Here is a 17,594-nt window from a genome sequence, read left to right as displayed (position 1 = left end):
TAATGCCTGCAATCAATCAATCTGCCACAGTAAAATAGCACAAGGTGCCAAGGGAGCATATAGAACATGCATATATTCCAGCCTAGAAAGTCAGCTCTTTCCCAGAGGCTGCAATTTCTGGGCTTAATCTTGAATGATGGTTGTCACTGAAAAGGTAAGGATGAGAGTCAGCGGTAGGGAAGGCACTTAAAGGCATGGGTAACCTAAGCAGGCATAAAGTCAGGACACAGTACCTCTTTGAAAAGTGCGGTATTTGTGTGGGCAAGTAAAAAATGAGAGAGGCAAAAACCAAGTTCTTAAAACACAGTCAGCCTTGTATGCATTTTGGAAATTCTCTATGCTTGCTTTCTTTTCAAATTATTTTGTGACCTTGTTATCTGTCTAAAAACTTAAGTTTTTCTGTTCTCCTTGATGTGCAGAGGTAGAGGAAAACATACCCAGGAATAATGTAATTTTTGACTTTCGCTGTGCGTAGAAATATCTTCTTTGACAGAGTTGTCCTCAGTGTTGTGTTTTGAAGGGCTAATGAATATTTCTTCTTCTGAGATAGTCCAGAAGGGAGCCATTTAGAATGCCTGATGTGTGGATAGATGGCCGTCAATCAATATGTCTACAAAGCAATTCTCTGAATGCCAGAGGATAGTGAAGAAAACTAGAAGGAATTTGAAATGAGAAAGTATGACTTTTAGGCCATTAAGGTTTTCTTTCAAATACCTGGTATGATGAAAGGGAAATAGAAAAAAACTCCAACAGCTGTTAATACATGGAACTAAAAGATGAGTGTGTAATATAGAAATTGATAAAACCATTAGTCTAGATGAGCTTTCATAAAGCATTTGATTCTCATCATTTTCTATTGACTCTTTATGGTATAACGTATTCCACAATTTAAAATTATCTTAGTTTTCATAATTTCAAAAAATATCAAATTTTATTATATGTTATGAAATACTGGCCCCAAGCCAAATTATTTTGTCATTTGTTTGGAATGAGATCCATGAGTTCCTTAAGACATATGTCCAGAACTAAAATATTTTCATAACTATAAGATAATATTGTTCTTTTTAAAGTTTTGTTTTTCAGGGTTTTAGCATTTCATATACATAATTTCCTTTTCCCAACTGCCCTCACCTATTTCCCTGGCATACTACTGGTATTTACCTGAGACTTAACTCAAGTTTATTTTTGCCTATATAAAGCTTATTCTGTCTTTGCAACCCTGCTCCACCCCAACTCACAGAATTGAACACTCTCTTTTTATGTGCAAGCACTGAAGTTGGCACCAGTCTCTGGGATCTACTCTAATATCTGTTATCACAACACATTGCACATTGTATTAATGTTTTCTTCATCATTAGACTGTAATTTATTTAAGAGTTAAGTCTGTGTTTTCTTACTCTTTGTGTCCTTTCTTCCTGTGGTGATGACATAGCAACTGCCCAATACATACTCATGGAAGTTAACTTATGAATAAATAAGTGAGTGGCTTTCAACTGCAGATGCAACTTTGAATGAGACGGCATCTGTTTCCACACCAAAAAAATTTTAAAACATAATATTTAGATTTCTTTCAATAATTAATTATTTATAAAGTCCTTTTGCATACTCCATCATTCAACTGATACTTACAACAATAATATCAGCCCCATTTTAAAAGTAAGAGCGTTCATGTTCATAGTAAGTCATGCAACTACATGAAAACTCAAGTATTCAGCTAAAGACACACATCCTATATTGCACACTGTTGAGAGAAATAGCAACTAAATGGGATGGCAATTCTGTGATTAACCTCTGTAACAAAAAGATTGGGTCATTTCTTTTCTTCTATTCATTTTTCTTGTGTACAAGTAAGAGAGGTCTACAAGGTGACCCCCAAGTTCCCTTCAACTCTAGCATATGAAATCTGCTCACTCACATACTCATTAAACGCTCTGTCTCTGGCCACCACATCAACTGACCACGAGATGGCGATGCAGCTTAACTCAGCACCCAGGTCTGTAACCCCAGCATCTAATGAAAGCCGTGCCCAAGGCAATTTCCCATATTCAGCAAATTTTAAAACATAGACATTCTGTCATATTTGAGAACTCACCACCTCCTTTTTCAAATATGACTACTGGCATGGAGAAAATGTTTCAAGATGCCAGCCATCCCTAAGATCAAGCAAGAGGGACATCAACTTGAGGCCAGTGCTAGTGAACAGACTAAGAAAGCTCATTTACATGACGGAAGACAAAGTATAATATCCACACCAGGGCAACTTTACCAGGTAGAAAAATTGGAGACTGCGTCTTCATCAGACTCTAAATTTCGATACTTTCAACACCAGATTTGTTCTCTGTTGAATCCCTGTAAATATTTAGCATGAACAAATGCACTAAGCACCAACTAGGAGTACCTCAATATGATGGGGTCTAGGGAAGAGGTAGTCAGTCTTCTGTAAAAGTTCACAATCAGACTCATATGTGTAACATATGTTTAATGAACACATATTGTGTGACAAGCTCATGTGTTAGGTCTCAGATAAATAGCATTAATAGTGGCTACTATTATTTGTTATTTATTGATTGCTAATTGCCACGGCATATGCATAGCACTCTAAATTTCAACTCATTAAATATTTATGAAAACATTACATATTAAGGGCTAGTAGCCCTATTTTACAGATAATGAAAAGTAGGCTCAAAGAGGTTAAGGCAATTTGCTACGATTACTACCATTTACTAAGATTACTGCCATTACTAAGATTACTGAGTCCTGGTTTTACAATAATGGAAAAGCAAGAACACTGAGGATAGAGGAAAGGCATACGCCAGCAAACATAACACATAATATTCCTGACAATAACCAGAAGTGCAGTCAAGGACACTTTCAGAGCACAATGCTTCTTCCTTGCCTTGGTCCCTGAAATTCACTTCCACTTGTTCAGAAAAAGAAAAAAGTAGGATTTCTGATTTGTTTTACAATATCCATTGTCTACCAATTCTCTCATGGCAGTATGGTCTTCAGCTGGCCCACTTGGGGATCCCTAATCCTGAACATTTTATTACCTCTTTTGCAACCAGTGCTGCTACTGGGCTTGTACTCTTGGAAACATTTCACAGGCAAGACTCCTCCAACCCATACAGAGGCTAGAAAGAAGGCAAAGAGACACGTTCTCAGAATGATATAACAAGAATCCCTCATCAAGGCTTGGTTTGTGTCTCTGTTAAAACGTAGTTGAGACATGGAATCAACCTAAATGCCCATCAATGATAGACTGGATAAAGAAAATGTGGCACATATATACCATAGAATACTATGCAGCCATAAAGAAGAATGAGATCATGTCTTTTGCAGGGATGTTAATGGAGCCGGAGACCATTATCTTTAGCAAACTAACACAAGAACAGAAAACCAAATATTGCATGTTCTCATTTATAAGTGGTAGCTAAGTTATGAGAACACATGGGTGCACAGCTAGAAATAGCACACACTGGGACCTTTCAGAGAGTGGAGTGTGGGAGAAGAGAGAGAATCATGAAAAATAACAAATGGGTAATAGGCGTAATACCTGGGTAATGAAATAATCTGTACAACAAACCCTCATGACACAAGTTTATCTATGTAACAAACCTGTACATGTACCCCTAAACTTAAAATAAGTAAAAACAAACAGAAAAGAATAGTTATTTTTAAAAGTTTATATCACTTCTACCAAGGAGCATAATTAATTTTGGCCATCATTAGAATATATTTGCTGTATGATTAACTGAAACATAAAATAATTTTATAATATACCAAGGCTCTGAAATAAATGCTGATTTTTTTCTTGACTCGGAGTGTGGGTTCCAAGGTATTTTTGTCCCATGTCAGCTGTTCTAGGGTGCCACATTCTCATTTCAGTTCTCTTTTGTTTTAGCTGTTATTTATATAATTGCTTGAAGTATCATATTTATTGATTTTTTTCCCACAGTTTGGTTCTCACTACATAAATCTGGCTATATTACCAGTACGGTAACTCTAGCCCTGTGGAGACAATGTGGCATAGAAGTTGAAATCCTTAACTCTGGAGACAGACTGACTAGCTTCTAATCCCACTCCTGCCACTTATTTCATGAGCAGTCTTGGGAAATGTGCTTAACCTCTCTATGCCTTAATGTTGTCATCCATAAAATGATAATGATTCATTTTTGACATACAACAGAGTTAGAAAGCATCTACTATATTCCACACAATGCTCAAGTAAAAATCACTAAATAGAACAGACCCCAAATCCCTGCTTTTGTGGGAGATGACAAGGGTAATGCACATCAATGGAATTTGTGTCCTTATAGGCTCAAGGAGCTCTCTTGTTCCTTCCACCATCTGAGAACACAGTGAGAAGTCCCCAGGCTTCAACCTGAAAAAGGGCCCTCATCAGAACCTGATCATCAGAACTTGGCACCCCAATCTTTGTCTTCTGATCTACATTGTGACCTAAGTCAGGTAAATACATCTGGCATACATCTTTGACATTTTTATACAATCTCTATGCACTGTGGTTTTAGATGTGCAATAATTTGTACAATGGTTTATTCCCAAGAACAGATTTTTTGTGTGTGTATACTTCCTTGCTTTAATAAATATATGATATAAATTTAAATAAATTTCTATTTTGTATATTTTTGTTTTGTTTTTTGTTTTTTGTTTTGTTTTGTTTTTGAGATGGAGTCTTGCTCTGTTGCCCAGACTGGAGTGTAGTGGCATGATCTCGGCTCACTGCAACCTCTGACTCCCAGGTTGAAGTGATTCTCCTGCCTCAGCCTCCCAAATAGCTGGGATTACAGGCACCCACCACCATGTCCAGCTAATTTTTGTATTTTACTAGAGACAGGGCTTCACCATGTTGGCCAGGCTGGTCTTGAACTCCTGACCTCAAGCTATCCACCTACCCCAGCCTCCCAAAGTGCTGGGATTACAGGGGTGAGCCACCACACCCAGCGTATTTTGTATATTTGTAAAGTACAAAGTAAAATGAACATTTTATGGAGTTTGTATTTTGCATACCCAATGTGAGAATTAAGTTTTAAATAAATAAACCTATAATATTTTATCTGAACAAAAAAAAAACAGAACTGTGATAAATTTATATTGCTTATAAGCTACCAAATTTATGGCATTTTGTTATAATAGGTTAAAGAGACTAAGACAAATAAGGTGTTGGACATCTTTTATTTGGTATTTGGTATTTATTTGGTATTTATACATCTTCTTTGATGAGGTATCTGTTAAGGTCTTTAGCCATGTTTAAATTAGTTGTTAGTTTCTTATTGTTGATTTTTAAGAGTTCGTCATGTATTTTGGGTAACGGTCCTTTCTCAGAAGTGTCTTTTGCAAATATTTGCCCTATTCTGTGGCTTATTTTCTCATTCTTTTGACATTAACTTTTGCAGTACATGACGTTTGTTCCATCACCGTTTGCTGAAAGAACAATCCTTGCTCCATGATATTGCTTTTGCTCCTTTGTTGTATTGGGCTGTTTTTGCATTACTACAAAGGAATACCTGCGACTGGGTAATTTATAAAGAAAAGAGGTTTAACTGGCTCATGATTCTGCAGGTTTTATAGGAAGCATGCTGCTGGCATCTGCTTAGCTTCTAAGGAGGGCCTCAGGAAGCTTACAATCATGGCAGAAGGCGAAGGGGTAGCAGGCACGTAACATGCTAAAAGCAGGAGCAAGTGAGAGAGAGGGAGGTGCCACTCACTTTTAAACAGCCAGATTTCACAAGAACTCACTCATTATTTTGAGGACAGCACCAAGAGGTTGGTGTTAAATCATTCAGGAGAAATCTCCCGCCAAGATCCATTGACCTCTCACCAGGCCCCAACTCCAGCATTGGGGATTGCATTTCAACATGAGGTTTGGGAAGAGACAAATATCTAAGCTATATTATCTGTCAAAGACCAGTTATCTATATTTATATGAGTCTATTTCTGGGCTCCCACTTCTTATCCATTGATATATTTGTCTATTCTTTCACCGATACCATCCTGTCTTGATTACTATTGCTTTACTCTTTGAGCATTTAAATATTATATGCTTGTTATAGTATTTATAAATGTTTGTAATTTCCTATTTTGATTTCCTTCTTTACTCTAAGACTTACTGATAAATATGTTTTTAAAACTATACACATACAAATTTTAGAGGCTTTCACTTGTTAACTTCTTATATGTTATTTGCTTCTGCAATTTTTTGAGATTTTCTGTGTAGCTTATTTAATGGTCAGTTTTTGTGGACACTTCACAAGAAAAATGACGCATCTTAAAAAATTATTCTATTAGAAGCCTACTTTTTAAAATTATGATTGATAGTCCTTTATAAATTCCTTTTTTTGTTATTGCTTTCCAATTCTACTTCCTTACTGGTAATGTGTATTGGGTATCCATCTTTCTTGAATATTTCTCAGAGGTAAATGTTGATAAATAATCCAATTGCATACTCTCTTGCCCTGGATAGTAGTTGATTTAGGGATATAAATATAGCCCAGTGCTGGACAATGACATGTGAGAGGAAATCAGTTGAGGTCATTTTTAAAAGATTTCCTTTCTTTTATAAAGCAGCTCAGAAATAATCATTTTTGGTCCACTGAATAGGATCTTGTCTGCATGTGACCCCTGAAATGTAGCAACCATCTTGTGACAATGAGGAAAAAAATAGTGGCAGAGCAGTATGAAAGAACAGAGCCTGGTTCCTAATTCTATTCTTCAACCACTGCATTAATCCTCGAGCCTCCTTGTCACAGGACATTTGGCAAATCAAGTATCCATTCCCCTTTTTACTTACGATACTTATTTTCAGGTGAATTTCTGGCACTTGCAGTCAGAACATCCTCTCTGGTAAAAATTTTGTAACCAAAGTGAGATTCTATACATAACATATTCTAAGATATGAAATTGGCAGATGGGATCATCTGAAGGAGTGAGGTGAGGACTAGACTATTCAAGTTTCAAGGCTGGTGCCTTGCTTTGCTCTTGCAAAGCCTTTGGTCACTATGATGCTTATTGTGAGTTGGGTTATAGACCATGTATTATTTTAGGGGGAAAATAGCTATTTCTTGCAGCTTTCAGTTTTGTTCTAAGAGTGGAATTGCTAACAAATAAAAACATCGCACACCTACTTAACTTTAAATATTGACTACTTTTATAAATAATAACAACTTTTTGAAGTATGAATATGTCCAAATTATTACATGCAATATACTTTATATTACAAAAAAAAGTTTTCTGAATTTCAAATTTAACTAGGCATATTGTATTTTTTTCTGGCAACCCTAACTAGAAGAAAGATATCAACCTAAGATGAAGGAAGCATTCCTGGATGCAAAAAAGGAAGGAAACAAAGAAAGGTCCTTTTGCCCATGACTTATAGTCTAAAGTCAACTAAGAGCCTCATAACATGAAACATTCAAGGACTGAAAACAAAGCCAAACAAATTTTGTGTTACAAACTAAAAATATAGGACTAATAAATCCAATTAAACAGCCTGCACCCAACAAAGGGGAACATTTATTATATACAACTGGTAGGAGAGATTTGTTAAACGACTTGTGCGTATATCTCCAAGGCTAGTTTTAAAAACAATTACTTCAAAATAAAGAATATTAAACTGAGGGACAGAGGTTGGGCAGAGCACAGAGACTGGTGTCTGGGAAACAAAAATTCTCAAAGATTATAAATATGGAGCTTTGCTTGTTGGACTCGAAGTCCACTGTAGAAGAGCCTGCCAATTATCTCTCAGTATTTCTTTCTTTATTCCTGCTAGTAATAAAAGCTCTTAATTTTAAGTGCAGCCTTGTGACTGAAATTCTCCCCTTCAGTGGAATGTGCATGTAAGTTATTGTGCCAACTTCCACATCACCCTCTCTCTTCAGATGCAAGGACCGAAGACAACTGTTGATAGTAGCTGCCTCCAACCCCTGACAGCTCATCTCTGCTTGTGAGAGTGACTAATATACTATTGTCTTGTAAAATCTACTGCATTTTAAAATTAATTTTGATAGAGCAACTAGCTAACACAGAGATTAATGCATGGATATTTATTATTTTATAATAAATATGAGGCAATTGAATTGCAGTCAGGCAGTGAATAACAAACAAATAGATATTGCAGCCTGGAGATCCAGTGACTTTTGTTGTTCTGTGACAAACCATTTGGTAAAAGTGTTGCCTGTGAAAGCTTGAGGCAGACTTTTGCGTAGAAAGCACATAGCCAACTCTAGGAGAACAATTGAAGTAAAAGAGAAGTGACTTGTCCACATTCGCATGGTTTAACTAGAATTTAAGTCTTCTGGTTGACTGTTCATTAAATTATAATACAAAAGTAAGTTCCATTCAACCCCACCATGGAAAAATCTATAATGGATATCCTTCCAGTGACTGTTCAGTTCCACTTCTATTAAAGTAAAATGTATTCCTATATGGTGTAGAAATATTATATTATGGCCTATTAGATGAATATTTTCTACTTTCATTAACATAGTAAATATAAAGATACACTGGGTGCAGGAATGTGGACAAATATTTCTTCCTTGCCCGTGCCATAATCAGGCGCCTCTGAACTCTCTTCTCAACTAGGTCCTGACTTTTGGGCTTCTGTGTTTCTGCATTGTCCAATATTAGAAACAATCTTGATAAGTCAGTTTAACCAGAACCTTCCACCCTCAGTATCTGATCACACTGTATATCTGAGCAGTTTCCTCATTCCCAACCATTCCCCATGTAGTGTCTGATCACCTTGGCCTGCCATCAGCAGGCATTCTGCTACATTGGTTTAACCAGAATCGCCTCTTACCCCTGATGCCTCCTCTTGGTGTGTTTCCATTCACTGACCTTCCTACTGCAACCTGGCTCACAGGCTATAAATTCCCAGTTTTCCTTATTGTATATGGAGTTGAGCCCAACCTTTCTCCTCTATCGCAAACCCATCTCAGTGGTCCCTATGGTTAATGCAATGGTCTTGAGTAAAGTCTGCCCTACTATTCAACAAGTGTTATAAATATTTTTTCTTTAATAATTAATAGATAAAATGAGACTTAACAACTTACCTCTCATTCTTGACGTTCCTATTATTTATCAACTAATAATGATGTAAAATAGAGCTGGAAGAAGAGCACTGTATATGACTTTGTTCCCTGAACCCTCCACCAAGCCCTCTCCCTCATGCCCCTGCCATCAGCCAACACACATGGCTGTTTAATCACAGTGATGTTTCACACAGTAAACCTCCACTTGCTCTTACAATCTTTCTCAACCCATCTTCTATACAGTGTTTCTTCCTAATAGAGTTTTCCAGTTCCTAATATGACAGGAGATGGAATCTATTAGGCTTATGATGGGTCCAGGGATATTTACATTTAATAGGGATGCTTTTATGACACAAATGACTATAAAGGTTAAATTTCCCAGCATATGAGAAGGCATACATGACACCACAATTCTATAGGCTCCATAAAGCTGGCAAAGGGCTTCTAACTCTTCCTACTTACAAGGACAGTTCTATGTTTGATTTCCCATGCGTGTCATCTATTTGAATTCCAAGAGTCTGCGATTTCAAAGGAGTTAACTAAGACCAGAAAACCCTCTCATTTTCGCAACCAGCAGCAGTAACTTCAGTTTGAGCTGGTAAAGAATGAGATTTGAGAGCAAATATTCAAGAATAACTACCATTTAGGATTTTGTAATTGTTCTTAGCAAACTTTAGAAGTGGCAACCATGTGATGTGCTACCAGTTGTAACTAACTCCCATACTTATTCCCAGCAGAACTGGAAAACTCATCTTAGAAAAATGAAGAGCTATTATCATTCTTTGCATTTTACCTTGGCATTTTGGCATTCACCTTGGAATTTTTTTCCCACTCTCTTGTTATTCCAGTTTTTCACTGTGGCTATGGGCTGTTAATGCCATTATTTTGTTATTTCAAAGGAAAAAAATGTTATATTACTTTTCAGGGAATATTCAGCAACCCAAGTCTACAACTAATGTTTCTAAGCACATGCCAGTTTCTATTTCTCCTCTTCATTTTAAGTTGGAAGAATCCAAAGCAGTATTTCAAAATCACTTTTTGTTTGTGTTAAGAGTTTTGGAGAGCATCTTTGTCAAAATTATTTAAATAACTAATCAGAAAACTATTTTCTTTCTCTAAATAAGTCAAAATATTCGTCCTCTTGCAATCAAATTTATGCTAGGAAATATGTGAGAATCAGAAAAGGATAGAATTATGTAAAGTTTGAAGAAATCTTTTAAAGAGCTGTTGAATAATTTTGCATTCTGAATGGATTTAGGTGATGGATAGAATATTTTAAACACAGTTCTGGATGTCTTTAATTCTAAGACTTTAGTCTTAGAAGCAGGGAAGAAAAAGAAACATTACATTTGATTCAGTTTAGTTTGTGATTTTGATTAATTCAAGAATTATAAATTCATATCTGTATTTTATGCCATCTAATATAAAAGGAAATTTTGAGATATGCACATGGATTGCAACCTTCTGAAACTGATGACTCAGGCCTTTAGAGTAGCCAGGTATCTAGGCAAAGGACACCAGGAGCCTCCAGCCTCTAACCAGGTTTTCCAATATTGGATGCTACCAGGACTTTTATGGGAAAAACAGCAGTTACCCCTGATTATGTGATACTGGAGGCATAGGCTCTGCGGAGGCAATGCATTTGGGTTTTACTTATGCAACCAGTGCTTTTATTGGGAATGCTATCTGTGTATACGATATGCTTTCAAAATTTATCTCTAACTAATAAAGCAAAGGCTAGCTTTGGTATAATGTAGAGAGGACCAAAACAGGATTTATTATAACTAGGTCCATAACTATTTTGCTATATTCAGTTATTAGTCATATCACTACTCATTATTAATGAGCAAACTGAAAAAGTTGGATTATTCCTATGGTCTGAGAATAGTTTAGTGAAAACAGCAGACAGCATTGATTTCAGACAGATACAGGTTACAATTTCTGCTCTGCCACCTTTTCTATGTGCTACTTCTGTCTCTATTTTTTGATAAATAAGTTGGAAGTAGGAACATCAACCTTCTAGAATCGTGAGAATTAAATGAGTTAATAGAAGTAAAGCTCTGAGCACACAGAGAAGTAGTGACAACTTTAAGTACTGCAGGTTTAGGTTTAGTACTGTGCGTGTCTCTACAAGTGCCTTCTCTTTACCCCATTCTACCACAACCATCACACATCCAAATCTTATACTCCAATAGGACCTTTCTTGATCCTATCCAGGGAAAGGTGAAACTTATGGATTCATGAGCTGTGGAAAAGGAGAAATTAAAAACAAAATCAAACATTGTAAAAACTGTTAAAGAAAAAATTGTGGGAAGGTACAGGATAAGATCTGTGTTTGGGGGACTCATCTCTCATTCTCCTTCTCAGCTGTGTTTATGGCAGTAACTCCTTTCATTTCTTCATCCATTCAGTTTGCATTGATTAAGCTATGTGCCAGGATCCTGTCCTTGTTCCTTGACCTACCTCCTTCCCAAGTCAGCAGAGACTAAAAATTTGTTTTATGAGTTAAAGTATTGAATATTTTGCTGCTGGTTGTTATATAATTTTGATTTTCTCATTTCTAAACACCAAAGCAGCTTTTCTTGTTTACCTCTAGACTATTACATGACATATAGTTTGCATTTTGGATATTTTCTTTACACTCTCAATCCCCTATTTAGAATATTTCCCAAGACTGTTTTCTGGTTACTTGCAATTTTGAACTTGAAAAGAACATTTATTCAAGTTTCTGTGATTTTTCTCCACAGGTAAAATCTTATCCCTATTTATATTTGGTTTGAAATGTGCTGAAACATAATGGGAAGCCAAAAGTTCCCAAAATTGGGAGAAATTTTCATTTGAAAACAGTGATGATCCACGCGACCTTCCCATCAGTCATTAACCCTATGCTATTTATAAAATAATATGCAGAAGGCAGTAGGAGGGAGGATACATAGATTCTGGCCCCAAATTCCTTAGTGGTGAGATGTGAAAGGAGTTAACAAATCTGGAACTCAGTTTCTACACCTTGAAGATTGGGGAAGAAAAATACCTTCTTTCTCATGAGAGGATGATAAAAAATAAGATTAGATCTATGATAGAACCTTGGTAATTACAAAGTGCTTTACAATAAACATCAGCAATTACTATATCCTGCTTGAACTAGGCCAGACCATTAAAGCTGGTCTAGTTTGGACCATTGAGAGAATGATGATTTGGAATAGATTTTGTTTACTATAGAATCAGCAAACAAACAATGCATAGAATAAATACATGGTCAAGGATGCTGGCAAGTAAGCCTGGCTCTTAAGTCCCTCTATTTATCCTCACAGGACGGTGCCCTGAGCTTCAAAGTCAGATTCAGCAGCTCCCATAGCATGGGAATCTACCAGGACAGAGGACCCCAGAAACATAAGATTTCTGCCTTTTATGCCTTTTTCCATGGAGGGATGGGCATGGAGAGGTCATGCACATTAACACCCAATGGTCTAACAACTTTCCATGAAAGGAAATTTTTGCTGTGCCACTCATGCCTCCATTCACAAACCATTTCTTTCCATTTGTTATTGGGCCTTCTCGAAGTTTCAGTCATCTGGCCAGCTTTATCTGATCACTGTGACACCTGGGGCTCTTCAGAAAAAAAGAAAGATTCTCTCTCTGACCTCGGTCTCATAGAGGTTACTGCTGTAATCAATGGAGAAGACAAGGCATGCCAGCAACCACCGAGGAAACATTAGACATGATAGAGACAAGAAGACTTAAACCCAAGCCTGACTCTGGGATAAATTGGGTTATCAGACTTGTTGTTTTCCCTTAGATTCCTCTAACTCTTCAGTCATGCCCCATTCTGAGAGGCCTCTCCTTCCACTAGTTTTCTACTCTGCCCTATATTAAGTATACCACAGTGCCTTAGGTACCACGTATGTACTCACTTAGGTACCATGTACATGCTCACACACATAACATATTCACTTCCTGCATGGCAGGCACCTACCCATCCTCCTATTTCTCCATGGATGTTATCTATTTAGTCTTTCTCATTTCATAGGCATCTCAGTCTTCAAGATCAGTTTTCCATAGTACAGAACCCCCTCAGTCTTTATGAAATGCAAGGCAATGGAATTTAACAGAAAGACTGCTGACTTCACAATTACATAGAACTGAGGATGCATCCTGACTTTGTCACTTACCCACTGGGAGATGTTGGGAAAATAATTTAATCTATTTAAGCTATTGTTTTCTCGCTAGTAAATCAGGCACTGTGAAAATAGCTGAGTGAGCTGAGTGGTTGGTGTGAGCACTACATGCAATTTTTAGATGACATGCATATAGAAGGTTGTCAAGAAATTTGCATGTTCTTATTTGCCCCACACTGCGACGGCAACAGTTCCAGAAACAGAACAGTGGGGGATATTTCCCATCTTAGAAACTTTATTTGGCTAAGGGCTGCCTGCACTTTCAGCTGTTCCTTGCCTTGTCAACTTCAATTCTCTGTAAACCGTCATCCACACTCTAAAAAATTGAGATGGAGGATAAAATATTCACATGCCGTATTTTCTAGAGATTGTTCTTTGGAAGCAGTCTAATTGATATTTATTTCTTATAAACTATATCTCAAATATATGAACACTTTGCCTCTGATTAAAAAGTGTTACTTTTTGCTTAATTGTGATATAGTTTTATATGTAGCAGTTTCATGTTATGTTAGATTCTTTCATTTATATTATAAGACCTTGTTAGATATGTTTCTGAGTGTATATGCATAGGAATATATTATGGTAATGAAAAAAATTTAGAGTGAAATCACTTTTTTTAAAACATTTACATTTTATATTCTTATGTTGGTCTCCTTGTAGGTCTTTTGCCTGCATTGAGCATGACTTACAGGTGCAAATACTTTATTTGTAGAAATCTGACATTTTTCCTGTGCCTCAAATGTGTATTTGTGTTCTTTAAGACAGTACAAATGAGAAGCACCTTAGATGCATATTCAGGTTCTCTTCTGGACCACTGCAAGTTAAAATTATATACCATTTACCAGGAATATCTTTCAACTTGGGCCTCTAAAGAATAATGTTTCTACTTCTGGGAAATAGTATTCTTAAGGAACCCATGGGATCTGGCAGTCAAATGGCTCTCCAAAAACAAGTCAGGATGACCTAATTTCCCCAGGTTTATTACTGTGCCATACACTCTTCTAGGTTATTGCTAATTAAATGATTTACCACTAAATAAGGGATTCATTTAAAATATTTTAAACAGTTAATTGAAAAACATAGCTCAGGTTTCGAATATAATTTAGCCCTAAAACCGTCTGTAACTCTATTATGTGATAACACAAAGATTTGATAAGAGCTAAATGAGACACAGGAGAGTGGTGCACTGGAAAATACTCAGAAATGGGATGAAAATGGCACATGTGGAATGAAGAGATGATGTATATATGTAAAATAACCCTAGTAAAGATATAAGAAAAATAAAATGTTTAGAGAAACTATGGACAAGGGAAAACAATCACAACAACAAAAGCATGCTAGATAACTCTAGCAGTATTATAGCCCCTACTTTCAGATAAATTTATTGATATCAACATGAAAAAAATCATCAATGTTTGAGTCACTGTTAAAAAAAATAAACGATTTTTTTCTATTTATATTAGTGCCACAAAACCATGATGAAATTTCATTCCAATTCTGCTAAATATCAATATCTTTGAGAAAAGTTCAACCTTTTGTGACTTTCGGCAACTAAACCTCAGAAATCTCACAAGAATCTACCAAAGTTTCCAACTCCAGTGTTTATTGAAACTTTTGTAATATGGATGGATACTGCAGAAATAGGCACCGAGTTATAGTTAGTGATAGAAATATTCTACAATATGGAAAGACTGTCTTATGTTTTTTGATCCATGAATTCCCTGAAGACCTGAAAAATCTGCGATAATTGACAGAGAAAATACTTGAACAGGCAGGGTCCAAAATAACTATTTTCCAGGAGGAAATATATATCCTTGTAACTCTCAGGATGATAAGACAACCCAATTCTAGTTATACTTTCTTTCTTATATTCAAAAAGCCATATTATAACTGAATTGTGTTTCTTTAAAAGTCACATTGAAATGACTTTATTTTTAATTTTGTGGGTTAAGTTACATGCTTCAGTATCCTAAGACGCATCTTCTAAGTGGAGCTAATATAAATATTTGCCCTTTCCAATGAGAATGGGAAGTGCTGAGCTGACACTAAGGCCAAGTATTACTGGTATCACTAATATGAATGTTTAGGAGCTGCTTAATGCTATTAATATTACATGGATGTTTTGACAAATAGCAGGGGCCCAGAAGAATTTGTGTGGACTGTGAGCCTCCCATATTAATCTTGGCTGACCAAAGTGAATTTTTAAAGTGACAAGAGGCTATGTAGCAAATTTGTCCTGTTTTCAACAGCAGCCATAACTTCTTTGCTGCCTGGGTCAGGAAATGCTGGTGTTTTTAATCTGAGATTACCCCCAAAATGTACTATTACTAAACTGTTTGTTATTACATGTGTCTTAAATGAAAAGCTCTAAAGGCACAGATGTTCTTCATGAAGAAAACCCAGCAATATAATTAATTCTATCCACCCCTTTTTTGTTCTTGCTTTATCTTTGAATGAAGATTTGCCTTGTGATACGGTTATGCTTTTTATCCCCACTCAAATCTCATCTTGAATTACAATCCTTATAACCTCCACATGTCAAGGGAGAGACCAGGTGGAGGTAATAGGATCATGAGGTCAGTTTCCCCCATGCTGTTCTCATAATAGCGAGTGAGTTCTCACGAGATCTGATGGTTTTGTAAGTGTCTGTTGGTTCCTCCTGCAGTTATACTCTCTTCTGCTGCCATGTGAGAAGGCCCAGGCTTGCTTCCCCTTCACCTTCCGCCATGACTGTAAGTTTCTTGAGGTCTCCCCAGCCATGCGGAACTGTGAGTCAATTGAACGTCCTTTCTTTATAAATTACCCAGTCTCGGGTATTTCTTTGTAGCAGTGTGAGAATGGACTAATACACCTTCCATCCGCTAACCTCTTATTGCTTTTCTCCTTTACTCCTAAAATCTATGACCAAGAAGAAAAAAGTATCATTTCTCCTGTATAAGATAGGTCCGTATTATTACGGAATTGTTCCAAATGAAATTCCAAGCATACCTTTAAAAACTGTAGGTATAAAATTGCCTTAGGCTAAGGTCACACGCAACCAGTGAATTTTCTGAGGAGTTACAGAGAAAGAACAGGGGAAACAGTGTATCATTTTTGTAAAAACTTGGTGTTACTGAACAGTGTTTTGCATAATCTTTGTGGATGCTGATTGTTCTGCATAAACAAGCGTCTCCCTAATTTAGCCAATATAAATAATTTGCGTGATGTGTTTGTTTTGTTTCCTATTTTCCCTGAAAAACATCCAGGAAAATATTACAATAGATCTTATAAACAGAAAAAAAGTTATAAATGTATTATAGAAGACAATTTTATAAGAAGGATTTCTTGACGTTTCTTACCAAGAGGTTTTACAGTAAATTAGCAGAAGTGCGCAGAGTTCATGTTTTATTTGCTCTTGCATTGACAAGTATTGCTAACCATTCTAAACTGGCTCCCAAGAAAACTTTCCAAATACAGTTTTACTTTATCTTTCTTATGTGGAGATTTAGCTCTTTTAAAAATCCTTCTTATATTTTTAAGTGGACAATAGAAAACTGAAATATAAGCCCCTTTGAAGTTTAATGAACTAAATCTGAACAGAAAAGAGTTCAGTTCTGACACTTTTACCTGCCATTGCCTTTCGCAGATGGACACATCCACATAGACATAAAAAAAAGTCTACAGCAAATACAAAAGATTTTTTCCTGTGGTGTTAAGATTAGACACAAGTTGAAACTTTTAAAGCCTATGTGAAAAGCAGTTGATGATAAGTACTTGGGGGAATCAGAAGTTAAATAATTTATTTTGCAAGCAGGTTGTTGAATTTAATGAGAGACGAAGTACCTTTAATGGGAGGTAGGAGGCTGAAGCATCCCCAGTGTGGAAGTCTGATACTTAACCTGCTCTGCTCCTCCCATATTGTCCACCTCGCTGGTTTTTGAATATGGCCAAGCATAAAACTGCTTTGGATTTTTGGCATTTGCTGCTCTCCATATCTGGAACAGCCTTATTCTATATGGCTCACTCCATCACTCTGCCTACATGTCGGTTTAAATGTCACCTTATTATTATAACTTAATTTCCAATCCTCTTATTTAAATAGCACTCCCCCTGCCCCATCAACCTATAACCCTGTTATTTGCTTTTTTTTTCTTCATAACATCTGTAACCACCTATATATGTTTTGTTCACTGTTGTATTCCCAATGTTTAGAACAGTGTCTGGAGCTCTACAGGGGCTTGATTTATATGTGCTAAATAGAAAAATAATTTGAACAATTATATCTATTATCCAGTGAAATCTTCTCAGTGTATCTCAAATACTACAGTGATACTTACTGAGTATGTTATTAGAATAAATGGAATAGGGTGGTTTTGAAGGATGTTTGACCTAG

General features: G+C 36.3%; 2 long non-coding RNA genes across 2 annotated transcripts in view; one reads left to right on the top strand and one right to left on the bottom strand.

Moving 5' to 3' along the window:
* Nucleotides 1-17,594, top strand: part of LOC105369896 (uncharacterized) — a 361,170-nt gene that overhangs the window by 279,843 nt on the left and 63,733 nt on the right. The window contains exon 8 of the long non-coding RNA XR_001749251.2: nucleotides 4,317-4,467. This is a non-coding gene — a long non-coding RNA (uncharacterized LOC105369896). The remainder of the gene's footprint in view (nucleotides 1-4,316; nucleotides 4,468-17,594) is intronic.
* LINC02823 (long intergenic non-protein coding RNA 2823) overlaps nucleotides 1-17,594 on the bottom strand; it is a 41,681-nt gene that overhangs the window by 11,055 nt on the left and 13,032 nt on the right. The gene's annotated exons all lie outside the window — the stretch shown is intronic.

Source organism: Homo sapiens, chromosome 12, assembly GCF_000001405.40.
Source record: "Homo sapiens chromosome 12, GRCh38.p14 Primary Assembly".
Lineage (NCBI taxonomy): Eukaryota > Metazoa > Chordata > Mammalia > Primates > Hominidae > Homo > Homo sapiens.
This window is presented reverse-complemented; position numbering and strand designations above follow the sequence as displayed.